We start from the raw sequence: 13,570 nt of genomic DNA, 5'->3' as shown, positions 1-13,570 counted from the left end.
TGTGCAAAACGTGCAGTTTTGTTGCATAGGTATACACATGCCATGGTGGTTTGCTGCACCCATCAACCCATCACCTACATTAGGTATTTCTCCTAATGTTATCCCTCCCCTACCCCCTCACCTCCCACAGGCCCCGATGTGTGATGTTCCCCTCCCTGTGTCCATGTGTTCTGATTGTTCAACACCCACTTATGAGTGAGAACATGCAGTGTTTGGTTTTCTGATCTTGTGATAGTTTGCTGAGAATGATGGTTTCCAGCTCCATTCATGTCCCTGCAAAGGACATGAACTCATCCTTTTTTATGGCTGCATAGTATTCCACAGTGTGTATGTGCCACATTTTCTTAATTCAGTCTATCATTGATGGACATTTGGGTTGGTTCCAAGTCTTTGCTATTGTGAATAGTGTTGCAATAAACATACGTATGCATGTGTCTTTATCGTAGAATGATTTATAATCCTTTGGGTATATGCCCAGTAATGGGATTGCTGGGTCAAATGGTATTTCTAGTTCTAAATCCTTGAGAAACTGCCACACTGTCTTCCACAATGGTTGAACTAATTTACACTCCCACAAACAGTGTAAAAGCGTTCCTATTTTTCGACAACCTTTCCAGCATCTGTTGTTTCCTGACTTTTTAATGATCACCATTCGAACTGGCATGAGATGGTATCTCATTGTGGTTTTGATTTGCATTTCTCTAATGACCAGTGATGATGAGCATTTTTTCTTATGTCTATTGGCTACATAAATGTTTTCTTTTGAGAAGTGTCTGTTCATATCCTTTGCCAATTTTTTTGATGGGGTTGTTTGCTTTTTTCTTGTACATTTGTTTAAGTTCCTTGTAGATTCTGGATATTAGCCCTTTGTCAGATGAATAGATTGCAAAAATTTTCTCCCATTCTGTAGGTTGCCTGTTCACTCTGATGATAGTTTCTTTCGCTGTGCAGTTCTTTAGTTTAATTAGAACCCATTTGTCTATTTTGGCTTTTGTTGCCATTGCTTTTGCTGTTTTACACATGTAGTCTTTGCCCATGTCTATGTCCTGAATGATATTGCCCAGGTTTTCTTCTTGGATTTTTTTTTTTTTTTTAAGACAGAGTCTTGCTCTGTCACCCAGGCTGGAGTGCAGTGGCGCGATCTCTGCTCACTGCAAGCTCCGCCTCCCGGGTTCACACCATTCTCCTGCCTCAGTCTCCCAAGTAGCTGGACTACAGGCACCCACCACCACGCCCAGCTAATTTTTTTGTATTTTTAGTAGAGACGGGGTTTCACCATGTTAGCCAGGATGGTCTCAATCTCTTGACCTCGTAATCTGCCCACCTTGGCCTCCCAAAGTGCTGGGATTACAGGTGTGAGCCACCATGCCCGGCCTTCTAGGATTTTTATGGTCCTAGGTCTTACGTTTAAGTCTTTGATCCATCTTGAGTTGATTTTTGTGTAAGGTGTAAGGAAGGGGTTCAGTTTCAGTTTTCTGCATATGGCTAGCCTGCAAACAGAGACAATCTGTCTCTGCAGAGACAATTTGACTTCCTCTCTTCCTATTTGAATACTCTTTATTTCTTTCTCTTGCCATTTATTAAATAGCAACACCATTTATTAAATAGGGAATCTTCTCCCCATTGCTTGTGTGTGACAGGTTTGTCAAAGATCAGATGGTTGTAGGTGTGTGGCATTATTTATGAGGCATCCGTTCTGTTCCATTGGACTATATATCTGTTTTGGTACCAGTACCATGCTGTTTTGGTTACTGTAGCCTTGTAGTGAAGTTCGAAGTCAGGTAGCGTGATGCCTCCAGCCTTGTTCTTCTTGCCCAGAATCGTCTTGGCTATGGGGGCTCTTTTTTGGTTCCGTATGAAGTGTAAAGTAGTTTTTTCCAATTCTCTGAAGAAAGTCAGTGGTAGCTTGATAGGGATAGCTTTGAATTTATAAATTACTTTGGGTAGTAAGGCCATTTTCATGATACTGATTCTTCCTGTCTATGAGCATGGAATGTTTTTCCATTTGTTTGTGTCCTCTCTTATTTCCTTGAGCAGTGGTTTGTAGTTCTCCTTGAAGAGGTCCTTCACATCTTTGGTAACTTTTATTCCTAGGTATTTTATTCTCTTTGTAGCAATTGTGAATGGGAGTTCACTCATCATTTGGCTCTCTGTTTGTCTATTATTGGTGTATAGGAATGCTTGTGATTTTTGCACATTGATTTTGTATCCTGCGACTTTGTTGAAGTTGCTTATCAGCTTAAGGAGATTTGGGACTGAGACGATGGGGTTTTCTAAATATACAATCATGTCATCTGCAAACAGAGACAATTTGACTTCCTCTTTTCCTATTTGAATATCCTTTATTTCTTTCTCTTTCCTGATTGCTCTGGCTACAACTTCCAATACTATGTTGAATAAGAGCGGTGAGAGAGGGCATCCCTGTCTTGTGCCGGTTTTTAAAGGGAATGCTTCCAGCTTTTGCCCATTCAGTATGATATTGGCTGTGGGTTTGTCATAAATAACTCTTATTATGTTGAGATATGTTCCATCGATACCTAGTTTATTGAGAGTTTTTATGCTGAATTTTGTTGAATGCCTCTTCTGCATCTATTGAGATAATCGTGTGGTTTTTGTTGTTTGTTCTGTTTATATGATGGATTACGTTTATTGATTTGCATATGTTGAACTAGCCTTGCATCCCAGGGATGAAGCCAACTTGATCTTGGTGGATAAGCTTTTTGATGTACTGCTGGATTCAGCTTACCAGTGTTTTATTGAGGATTTTCGCATCAATGTTCATCAGGGATATTGGCCTGAAATTTTCTTTTTGTTGTTGTTGTGCCTCTGCCAGGTTTTGGTATCAGAATGATGCTGGCCTCGTAAAATGAGTTAGGGAGGATTCCCTCTTTTTCTATTGATTGGAATAGTTTCAGAAGGAATGGTACCAGCTCCTCTTTGTACCTCTGGTAGAATTCAGCTGTGAATCCATCTGGTCCTGGACCTTTTTTGTTGGTAGGCTTTAATTATTCCCTCAATTTCAAAACCCGTTATTGGTCTATTCAGAGATTCAACTTCATCCTGATTTAGTCTTGGGAGGGTGTATGTGTCCAGGAATTTTTCCATTTCTTCTAGATTTTCTAGTTTATTTGCATAGAAGTGTTTCTAGTATTCTCTGATGGTAGTTTGTATTTCTGTGGGATCGGTGGTGATATCCCCTTTATCATTTTTTATTGCATCTAATTCTTCTCTCTTTTCTTCTTTATTAGTCTTGCTAGCGGTCTATCTATTTTGTTGATCTTTTCAAAAAACCAGCTCCTGGATTCATTGATTTTTTGAAAGGTTTTTTGTGTCTCTATCTCCTTCAGCTCTGCTCTGATCTTAGTTATTTCTTGCCTTCTGCTAGCTTTTGAATGTGTTTGCTCTTGCTGCTCTAGTTCTTTTAATTGTGATGTTAGGGTGTTGATTTTAGATCTCTCCTGCTTTCTCTTATGGGCATTTAGTGCTATAAATTTCCCTCTACACACTACTTTAAATGTGTCCCAGAGATTCTGGTACGTCGTGTATTTGTTCTCATTGGTTTCAAAGAACGTCTTTATTTGTGCCTTCATTTCGTTATTTACCCAGTAGTCATTCAGGAGCAGGTTGTTCAGTTTCCATGTAGTTCTGCGGTTTTGAGTGAGTTTCTTAATCCTGAGTTCTAGTTTGATTGCACTGTGGTCTGAGAGACAGTTTGTTGTGATTTCTGTTCTTTTACATTTGCTGAGGAGTGGCTTTACTTCCAATTATGTGGTCAATTTCTGAATGAGTGCAATGTGGTACTGAGAAGAATGTATATTCTGTTGATTTCGGGTGGAGAGTTCTGTAGATGTCTATTAGGTCCACTTGGTCCAGAGCTGAGTTCAAGTCCTGAATATCCTTGTTAATTTTCTGTCTTGTTGATCTGTCTAATATTGACAGTGGGGTATTAAAGTCCCCCATTATTATTTTGTGGGAGTCTAAGTCTTTTTGTAGATCTCTAAGAACTTGCTTTATGAATCAGGGTGCTCCTTATTGGGTGCATATATATTTAGGATAGTTAGCTCTTGTTGCATTGATTCCTTTACCATTATGAAATGGCCTTCTTTGTCTCTTTTGATCTTTCTTGGTTTAAAGTCTGTTTTATCAGAGACCAGGATTGCAACCCCTGCTTTTTTTTGTTTTCCATTTCCTTGGTAGATCTTCCTCCATCCCTTTAGTTTGAGCCTATGTGTGTCTTTGCACATGAGATGGGTCTCCTGAATACAGGACACTGACGGGTCTTGACTCTTTATCCATTTTGACAGTCTGTGTCTTTTAATTGGGGCATTTAGCCCGTTTACATTTTGGGTTAATATTGTTATGTGTGAATTTGATCCTGTCATTATGATGCTAGCTGGTTATTTCACCCATTGATTAATGCAGTTTCTTCATAGCGTCGATGGTCTTTACAATTTGGCATGTTTTTACAGTGGCTGGTACCAGTTCTTCCTATCCATGTTTAGTGCTTCCTTCAGGAGCTCTTATAAGGCAGGCCTGGTGGAGACAAAATCTCTCAGCATTTGCTTGTCTGTAAAGGATTTTATTTCTCCTTCGCTTATGAAGCTTAGTTTGGCTGGATATGAAATTCTGGGTTGAAAATTCTTTTCTTTAAGGATGTTGAATATTGGCCCCCACTCTCTTCTTGCTTGTAGAGAGATCCACTGTTAGTCTGCAGAGAGATCCACTGTTAGTTTGATGGGCTTCCCTTTGTGGGTAACCCGACCTTTCTCTCTAGGTGCCTTTAACATTTTTTCCTTCATTTCAACCTTGGTGACTCTGAAGATTATGTGTGTTGGGGTTGCTCTTCTCAAGGAGTATCTTTGTGGTGTTCTCTATATTTTCTGAATTTGAATGTCAGCCTGTCATGCTACATTGGGGAAGTTCTGGACAATAGCCTGAGGAGTGTGTTCCAACTTGGTTCCACTCTCCCCATCACTTTCAGGTACACCAGTCAAATGTAGATTAAGTGTTTTCACATAGTCCCATATTTCTTGGTGGTTTTGATTGTTTGTTCTCACTCTTTTTTCTCTAATCTTGTCTTCTCACTTTATTTCATTAATTTGATCTTCAATCCCTGATATCCTTTCTTCCACTTGATTGAATCGGCTATTGAAGCTTATATGTGCTTCACAAAGTTCTTGTACTGTGGCTTTCAGCTCCATCAGGTCATTTAAGCTCTTCTCTACACTGGTTATTCTAGGTAGCCATTCCTCTAACCTTTTTTCAATGTTTTTAGCTTCCTTGCAGTAGGTTAGAACATGCTCCTTTAGCTCAGAGGTTTGTTATTTCCGACCTTCTGAAGCCTACTTCTGTCAACTTATCAAACTCATTTTCCATCCAGTTTTGTTCCCTTGCTGGCAAAGAATTGTGTTCTTTTGAAGGAGAAGAGACATTCTGGTTTTTGGAATTTTCAGCCTTTCTGCTCTGGTTTCTCCCCATCTTTGTCATTTTATCTACCTTTGGTCTTTGATGGTGGTGACCTACAAATGGGGTTTTGGTGTGGATGTGCTTATTGTTGATGTTGATGCTATTCCTTTCTGTTTGTTAGTTTTCCTTCTAACAGACAGGCCTCACAGCTGCAGGTCTGCTGGAGTTTGCTGGAGGTCCACTCCAGACCCTGTTTGCCTGGGTATCACCAGCAGAGGCTGCAGAACAGCAAATATTGCTGCCTGACCCTTCCTCTGGAAGCTTTGTCCCAGAGGGGCACCTGCCTGTATGAGGTGTCTGTTCACCCCTACTGGGAGGTGTCTCCCTGTCAGGCTACATGGGGGTAAGGGACCCACTTGAGGAGGCAATCTGTCCATTATCGGAGCTCAAACATCATGCTGGGAGACTGCTCTCCTCAGAGCTGTCAGGCAGGGATGTTTAAGTGGAGAAGCTGTCTGCTGCCTTTTGTTCAGATATGCCCTGCTCCCAGAGATGGAATCTAGAGAGGCAGTAGGCCTTGCTGATCTGCAGTGAGCTCTGCCCAGTTTGAGCTTCCCTGCCACTTTGTTTACACTGTGAGCATAGAGCCACCTACTCAAGCCTCAACAATGGTAGACACCCCTCCCACCACCAAGTTCCCATATCCCAGGTTGATCTCAGACTGCTGCGCTAGCAGTGAGTAAGGCTCCATGGGCATGGGACCTGCCATGCCAGGCACAGGAGGGGATCTCCTGGTCTGGTGGTTGTGAAGACCATGGGAAAAGTGCAGTATTTGGGAAGGAGTGTACTGCCTCTCCAGGTACAGTCACTTATGGCTTCCCTTGGCTAGGAAAGGGAAATCCCCCGACCCCTTGCACTTCCTGGGTGAGGTGATGTCCCGCCCTGCTTTGGCTCACCCTCCGTGGGCTGCACCCACCGTCCAGCCAGTTCCAATGAGATGAACCAGGTACCTCAGTTGGAAATGCAGAAATCACCCATCTTCTGCATTGATTTCACTGGGAGCTGTAGATCGGAGCTGTTCCTATTCAGCCATCTTGGAAGTGACCTCCCCATATTGCATTTTAATATCTGATCATTTGTCTTTTTCCTCCAGTGGACTATAGGCAGCTTGAAGTTGGGGACTGTGTCTTTCATTAGGCACTAGAACATTATACAACCTCATAAGAGGAACTTTTAAAAATAAGTGCATCAATGGTTGTATGTGTCTTACAGTAGCCAAAGAAAACAATATTATGCCTCAAAGTCCTTCTCTATAAAATGAGAGGGTTGAACTGCATGATTGCCAAGATCTATAGATCTAAAGGTCATCATTTGTCTCAGATACTTGATATATTCAAATAATTTAGAACTGCCTGAAGCTTTCCCAAGAATCCATCCACTGTTGATTCAAGTACTTTATTAACAGAGGACAGAATCTGAGATCCTGGAGATCAGAGTCTCCATTAGAAGCACTGGAAAATTCCAAGCCTATCAGAGATGAAGGGATGGAGATTCTTTTGGGAGTCTGCAGCTTCATCTTTGATAATAAATCATTCTACATGAAAGAAGCCAGAAACGAAACATTGCATATGGTATTACTCCATTTACATGAAATATCCAGAATAGGTAAATCCATGGAGACAGAAAGCAGTTTGGTGGTTGCCAGGGGCTTGGGAGAGACAGGAATGGAGAGTGACTGCTGAAAGGATAGGGGGTCTTCCTCAGGGGTGATGAAATTGGTCAGGAACTGGATAGTGATGATGGTTGCAAAACATTGTGAATGTGCTAAATGCTACTGAATTGTACACTTCAAAATGGTTAATTCTATTAGCATGCACAGTGATGAATACCTGTAGTCCCAGCTATTTGGGAGGCTGAGGCAGGAGGATCACTTGAGCCTGGGAGGTTGAGGCTGCAGTGAACCATGATTGCGCCACCGCACTCCAGCCTGGGTGACAGAGCAAGACCCTGTCTCGAAAAAAAAGTTAATATTATGTTATGTGAATTTCACCTCAGTAAAAAAAAGTCACTGACAACCTTGAACTGGGCCAAGATTTATACTAAACTTCATTCTCTAAAATTACAAATAGTATAGTGTTAACTGACTGCAGAAACTTGATGAAGGGTCTGCTTAAGTATCTTATTTGTATTGGGTCTATAGTTCCAACAGTCTCTTTTCCAATGGGCTTTAAATGAATAATGTTCATCATTGTCATAATAATAGCTAACATTTATTGTGTTTACTATATTCTGGATACTCTACTAATCTTTCTGAAGGTATTAACTCAATTAATTCTCATAACAACATTATGAGGTTGGTACTGTTATCATTCTAATTTTACAGTAACCCAAGTTTACCCACCAGAGCAATAAGTGGCAGGCTGAATTCAAAACTCTAATCTCACTGATCGAAAGCCTATGCTTCTTGTTAATAATGCCAAGGACACAAATGACACAGTTCATGGTAGTACATGCAACTGATTTAAAGAGACCTTGTTTGATAAGATAAGCAAGACGTTTACATATTTTTCTAATTGCAGAGATATACCTGTCTAGTTTTCAAGTGAATGAGCGCAATGACAGGGTCTTGCTGGTAAACAGCAACCTTGGTGGAGGAGATGCCAAACAGACTTGACCCGGTTAAAGGAGGCAAAGTCAGAGTCAGAGTGAGCCTTATAAGCTTTCAATGTCTGGAGAAATACCATGAGAAATCTACTGACACCTTCTTCAATCAGACTTTCTCTTGGTACAGATGCTGTGTACCCAGGTCTCTATGTTCCTTCTCAAAAGGTGTTATCTCTAGAAAGGATAGGTGGTACTCTCTTCACAAAGGAGTCCTTGCAAGATCAGCTATGTGAGCATTATAATGTTAAAGGAGTTTTGGCTAATTTGGTAATTCTGGCAAAACATCTCATGAAAAAATATTGTGAGCAAAGCCTGTATTGATTATTGAAATGTCATGCTATGCTTCATTTATTCACTTATCCAGTTATATGTTCTAAAGTATCCTAAGGCATATATCCTCAATTTTTCTGAGTATGATGCAACTCTTGGATCTCAGTGCCCTGTCAAGAATCCAGATCATCATGTCAGGTGATGTGACCCTACCGCATAAGTTCCAGGCTTCCATCCATCAGCATTTGAATAGCATGCTCTTTTAAGGTAGGCCTTTCCTCATTCAAAATCAACACTCCCTATCTTTAACTCTGTGACTCGCCACATCCTCTGAAAAAGGTTAAGATGCCTGAAACTGATCTGCAGATATTATGGAACATGCGTTCCTTGTGTTCAGCTGCCTCTGTTGTCCAGAGTTTCTGCCTAGGTTAGGGACAATATTTAAGAAGCACATAGCCTCACTAGTTCAGGCCCTTCTTGTTGTTGTTGTTGTTGAGACAGGGTCCTACTCTGCTACACAGTCTGGAGTGCAGTGGCATGAACACAGCTCACGGCAGCCTCAACCTCCTTGGCTCATATGATCCTCCCACCTCAGCCTCCCAAGTAGCTGGGACTACAGGTGCTCATCACCATGCCTGGCTAATTTTTTTGGTATTTTTTGTAGAGATGAGGTTTCACCACATTACCCTGGCTGGTCTCCAAACTCTTGGTCTCAAGCCATCCACCCGCCTCAGCCTCCAAAACTGCTAGGATTACAAATGTAAGCCACCATGCCTGTCAAGGAGCCCTTCCTAAATGTCAGATTTTAATTGCTCAAGAGGCAGTATCAGAGGATACGATTGTGAACTCCATAAACCAGGTGATCCCTCGGCATCTCATCTAACCGTCCCTGACCTGTAGAATTGAAACAGAGAACAGGGCTCTGCCAGGTAGAGTGCAGTGCCCTCGCCAGGGGCTGAATTTATTTTGTGTTTCAGTTAGTAAATAGCACCTCTCAACGAGCTTCAGAATTGCTTTACAACTGCCTACTTGGCCTCTCCACTTGGATGTTTAGGCCATCTCAAACTCAATATGTTCAACACTGAGCACTGGATTTACTACCTTCCTCCCAAACTTTTCCAATCTCAGTAAATGGCTCCATCGTTCACCTATTGCTCAGGCTAAAAACCTGGGGGTGACTTTGAATCTTCTCTTTCCCTCACACCCAAAGCATCATCATATTTTTCTAATGCAGAAATATACCTGTCTAGTTTTCAAGTGAATGAGTGCAATGATGGGGTCTTGCTGGTGAACAGCAACCTTGGTGGAGGAGATGCCACAAGACTTGACCCAATTAAAGGAAACAAAGTCAGAGTGAGCCTCTTGTTTCTATTTATAAAATATATCCCAACCCTGACAGTTCCTATCCTCTCTTACTTTGGCTACTCTAACAGCCTTCCTGCTTCTCTCCCTGCTTTCCTGCTTCTCTCCCTGCACTCTTATGTCTATTATTTAATCAGAGGCCAGAGTAATCTTTATAAAACATAAAACAGATCATGCCATTCTCCTGCTGAAATCCTCCAGCGATTTCTCATCACATTTACAAGACATTCACAACTGTGAAATATAGCTTATCAGGCTCTGCATACCTTTGTGACGTCACAAGTACTGCTTTTTTCCTGAGTCTATTTTAACTTGACTGGCCCTCTTGCTATTCTTCAAACTCATCAAGCTCATTTCCATCTCAGGGCCATAACATCTGCTGTTCTTTCCACCTGGAACATCACTCTTCCGCAGATGTTTTCATGGCTCACTACCTTACTGTTTTCAGGGCTCTATTTAAATGTTACTTTTTCAGGAAGGCCATCCCTGTCCACCTTATCTAAACTAGCCTCCCCTCCATTTTCTATCCCTTTACCATGTTTTATTTTTATTCATAGCATATATAACTTCTGATATATTTAAGTATGTGTCCAATGAATGAATGACTTCCTAATAGTGCTAGAAAGTGAATTTTCACCACCTAATGTTGTGCAACTTTATATATAAAGGCATTGCATCTTTTCCCTCTGAATATACTCCCTCAAAACATACTTTCCTCCGGCAGTAAAGAGATTTTCTTAATGATGTTGAAACTGAGTCCAAACTAATCACATCAATATATACAATTTCAAGAACATGAAAGTGCCCAAACACCAGCAAAGATCTCAGAAGAAATCAGTGTAACAGCACTGAATCACAGGTTCCCATTGCATGCAAACATCTTTCCCCTGCAGCGGTGGGACTGCAAAATGTTACATGTGATAAAGATCAAAGGCTGTCACAGAGAACTGGGTGGAGTAGGCAAGGACTTCAGGACTGAGTTATACAATTGAAAGTGTTAGGATGTTTTCAAATTCTGACCTAGGACCTGACCTCAATGAGAATAAGGGGGCTGAATTCTTCGGACTTGCTTTATTTCACTCAGTCCATTTCCTAGTACAACAACATAGTAATGAGCCACACACCACAGCCAGGGCTAACAGCTCTTTCAGTACTGCCTGTTTCTGAGTTGAGCATTTACAGAGTGAGAAAATAGAGAAGAAAAAAGTAAATGATTGGGAGATGGAAAAGGGAAAGAGAGTGGCAAAATGGGGAAGGAAGAGCAGGAGAGAAAGAAGGAGAAACTTGATGGGCCGGGACAGAGCAGCAGAGAAGGGTCAGCATGTGAGTGATTCTATCTGAACACCTCCCTGGTGCTGGCGCTGCAGTCAGGCTTTGGCTGGTAACGGGTATGTTGAGAAACGAAAAGCTTCACACACAGGGCTCTGCCCTGTGTGGTCTCTCTTTTGTTTCCTCTCCCTTGTCGCTCTTATTTCTCCTCTCCTTTCTTTATTTCCTCTGCATATTCCTTGTCCCTGTGCTTTCCTCCTGACAAACACCCTGTCTTACCATCATTTGCAATGGACACATTTATTGCCTGCAAAGGAGACACTAGATTTTCTTGGGCCCTGGGAAAATATATGAACAGACATAGGGACATCTGTACCTGTGAAGCAGCTTTGCTGAAGCAGCGGCTGCTCTTCTCTAATCCCAGCTGATTGGGACATCCAAATCATTTCCTCATACTGTAATCGGGTTGCGAACTTGCCACAAGGACCTTTCCCCTGGAGGCTTAGTTCCCTTTTCTGTCCCAGACGGATCACTTTGATATGGAAGGGGGGTGGGGAAGTGCTGGGAAGGGAAGGGCAGGTCCCCGGCTAGGGCTCTGCCTACCTGCCGGTGGTCACAAACCTTGGTGAGGACAGGCACGCCTGCCTTCGTGCCCAAATGTTGCATTTCCCAAGACCACGCTGGCCCACCATGCCCCCGTCCTGTGCCTATAATCTGTGTGACCTGGAGGTTCTCAGGCTTATTGTGTGATGGAGTGTCTGCCCATTCTCTAGAAATGGAGTAGGAAGAAGTCACTCTCCCCTGCTCTGGGGCCTGTAAAAATGAGGTGGGAAGCTTAGGAAGAGCCCTAAAATAGTCAAGAGGAATGTGAAAGATGAGGCCCAGGACAAGACCATAGCAGGCAGGCACACAAGCCGCTGGACGTCGAGAGGAACACGTTGTTTGAAGAAGACACAAGCAGCTGGACTGCGAGAGGACGTGGAGGGGAGCATGCTGGTGGAAGAGCACATGACAGACGGCACGTGGGCAGGCTATGGACTGGCAGAACGGGGAGGAGTTTGGCTGGGGCAGTCCGAGGAGAGCCGGGGCTGCCGAGTGGCCCAAATCCAGGGGAAAACCATCTCGCTTTTGGCTCTCCCATTTGCTGAGAGCTACTTCTACTCAATAAAACCTTGCACTAATTCTCCAAGCCCACACATGATCCAATTCTTCCGGTACACCAAAGCAAGAACGCTGGGATACAGAAAGCCCTCTGTTCTTGCCATAAGGCAGGGGTCTCATTTAGCTGACTAACACAAGCTGCCTATGGACAGCTAAACTAAAAGAGCACATGGTAACACACACCCACTGGGGCTTCGGCTGTAAATATTCACCCCTATACACTGCCGTGGGGTTGTAGACCCACAGCCTGGCAGGCTGTATGCTCCCCTAAAGATTTGAGCAGGGGGACACTGAAGAAGTGGGCCACACCCCCATCACATGCCCTGCAAGGGGGACAAGGGAAATTTTCCCATTTCACCTTCATTAGGTTTGTGGTAATTTTCTACGCCAGAGCATTTCGTGCTGGCGTGAGGAGCAAACAGCATAACTCAGGGCACATGTGATGAGATGCACCATTTAGGAGGCCTTGCCCAGGACCTAATAGCCTGTGAGCTCCAAGCTCACCATGAGTGTCTCCTGTATTAGTCTCACCAACAGGAAGGAGTTGTTTCCTTATATACAAGTTCTTTTGCTTGCTGTATTCAAATTCCAGCTCTGCCACTTCTATCTATACAGGAATTTTGTGTAAGCTAATTACCATATATACATGGTAATTATATCATGTATATAACATATATGTCTTAGTTTCTCCTTCTGGAGAAAAAAAGGCAGTAGCTTTTCCCTCAAGGGTGCTTGTGAAGGTTGAATGAAATGTTTTCTGTAAAGGGCTCAGCACTGTTTCTGGAACAATCAGTGTAAGCTATTATTACTACTTGGTAAGAGGTCATTGTGAACAGCTTCTTATCATTCATTGTTCTTGATGGCCAGGGGCTGTAGTTCCTATTATTTCTTTTAGAGACCTTGACCAGTTCAAAGACTGTGAATTATAACCTGTTAGAGTTTGGCACAGCTGAAAATCTGGAGACCCCATGGTCAGCTGGCGAGTGAATGGCCTGCCTGTTACAAGTCAATGTGAAGAAGCAGGGCAGGTCAGCCAGAAGCAACGAGACCAGGATTCCAACAGTTGTCTTCCTTAAGAGTTCTGCCAACTCTGATTAAGGATGGACTGGAGAAGAGGCTGGGGTTTTATAAGTAGGTATAGTTTCTGATTGACTTTGGTATTGACGGGTCTTTTGAGATTAAAACCCCACAGTATAGTATTGGTGCCCTTCTCTCTATCTCCAAGACAATTTTAGGGTTTTATATTATTATAAATAATTTCTTATTTCCCTCAATGTTTATCTTATACTACCGTCTACCCGCAGGACCCAGATAACACAGGGCCTAGATAGTTTGGCAAGGGAGGATTGAGTTGATATAATTGTCAACATGAAGATTCCAGCTATCCTTTAAATGGATGGAAATGATATTCTCATGGATATACCCTGTTCTGTTTTAG

The 13,570-nt window shown here is 42.5% G+C and overlaps 1 annotated feature.

Moving 5' to 3' along the window:
- Window positions 8,964-9,464: an enhancer, noted in NCBI's record as "H3K27ac hESC enhancer chr15:49357796-49358296 (GRCh37/hg19 assembly coordinates)". NCBI's record gives its function as "activates a minimal SCP1, AML or CMV promoter by ChIP-STARR-seq in naive H9 embryonic stem cells {active_cell/tissue: H9 hESC(naive)}" and the evidence as "EXISTENCE:reporter gene assay evidence [ECO:0000049][PMID:30033119]".

The sequence above is a fragment of the Homo sapiens genome, chromosome 15 (assembly GCF_000001405.40).
Source record: "Homo sapiens chromosome 15, GRCh38.p14 Primary Assembly".
Taxonomy (NCBI): domain Eukaryota; kingdom Metazoa; phylum Chordata; class Mammalia; order Primates; family Hominidae; genus Homo; species Homo sapiens.
Note: the sequence above shows the minus strand (reverse complement) of the source record. Positions and strands in the feature narration are given on the sequence as shown.